Raw genomic sequence first — 1,261 nt, forward strand, 5'->3', positions numbered from 1 at the left:
ATGCAAAATCTTGAAGAATTTTTCTTGTCTTTTTTTTTTTTTTTTTTTTTTGAGTCACGGTCTTGCTCTGTGGCCCAGGCTGGAGTACACTGGTGAGATCAGAGCTCAGTGCAGGATCAAGTGCTCCTCCCGCCTCAGCCACAGTAGTAGCTGGGACTACAGATGCGCACAACCACCCCTGGCTAATATTTTATTTTTTGTAGAGATGGGGTCTCACTATATTGTCCAGGTTGGTCTCAAACTCCTTGACTCAAGGGATCCAGGAAAGGATAACAGGTGGGAGCCACCACACCTGGCTATGTGCATGAACTTTTAAGACAAACACAAGGCCCCACAAAAGTTAAGGTTTTTCCCACCTAATTTCCAGGGGGATCTTTTGGTGCAAGGCTGAGAAGCCCTTAAAAGTACACAGACAACTCCAAAGATTCAAGACAGTTCATTTGGGCTGAGCCAGCCCACTGGGCAGACTGACCTTCCAAAAAGACCCACCCATGACATACACCAGATGGCTCTCCAAGAATCTCTTCAGTCCTCAGGGTCCCTAACGTACTGGACAGAGCTAGGAAAGCAAACCCATTTGCTTCTTCCTGCAGGAAACCCCTTGAGGTTAAGACCCCACAATCACATGAGGATGGAGTGGCTCACCCTCAGTCAACAGGCCAGACTCAAGGTGGTATAATGTCTTAACCACGGGTGCGGGCCTCCAGGTCTGACTCCCAACTCAGTTCTTCTTTAATAACCACACTTTGTTAATTTTCCTTAACAGGGGTTCCTGGCAAGTCATTTCTCCCTCAGGCCTTCGGTTTCCTCACCTACAAGATGAGAGGGCTGGACCAGATGGAAATTCAGGGGGTAAGGGGATGTCCTCACGCAGCCCACCCCCACCCCCACGGGACCCTGGAGCCTCCATCCCAGTTCCCACCACGCACCCGCTCCACAAATCCTGCCCAAGGTGAGGGCTGGTCCTGGGTCCTCTGGCTGCCGCATCAGCGAGTGCAGGAGGGAGGGGAAGCCTCCAAGGGGGTGACGTGGGCTCAAAGATGCAACTCGGCCAGGAGTGAACTGGGGCCCCGAAGGAGGTGTCCGGGCCGCTCCTGGAGCCCAGCCCGGGTCCCCGAACCCCTTACCTCCGGGGTCTGTATCTCCTGCTGGGTGAGGTCGTTGGACACAGCGCACTTGGTGCACAGCCCGCACAGGCTGCCAATGAAGATGACGATGAGCTTCTGGAGCTGCCCGCACTGCTGCAGCGCCCGGCTGGCCG

General features: G+C 54.1%; 1 annotated feature.

Annotated features, from left to right (window-relative positions):
- Positions 967–1,261: a silencer, noted in NCBI's record as "tiled region #1883 duplicate 3; K562 Repressive non-DNase unmatched - State 22:ReprW". NCBI's record gives its function as "represses a minimal TATA promoter and a strong SV40 promoter by Sharpr-MPRA in K562 cells {active_cell/tissue: K562}" and the evidence as "EXISTENCE:reporter gene assay evidence [ECO:0000049][PMID:27701403]".

This window comes from Homo sapiens, chromosome 1 (genome assembly GCF_000001405.40).
Source record: "Homo sapiens chromosome 1, GRCh38.p14 Primary Assembly".
In the NCBI taxonomy this organism is placed as follows: Eukaryota; Metazoa; Chordata; class Mammalia; order Primates; family Hominidae; genus Homo; species Homo sapiens.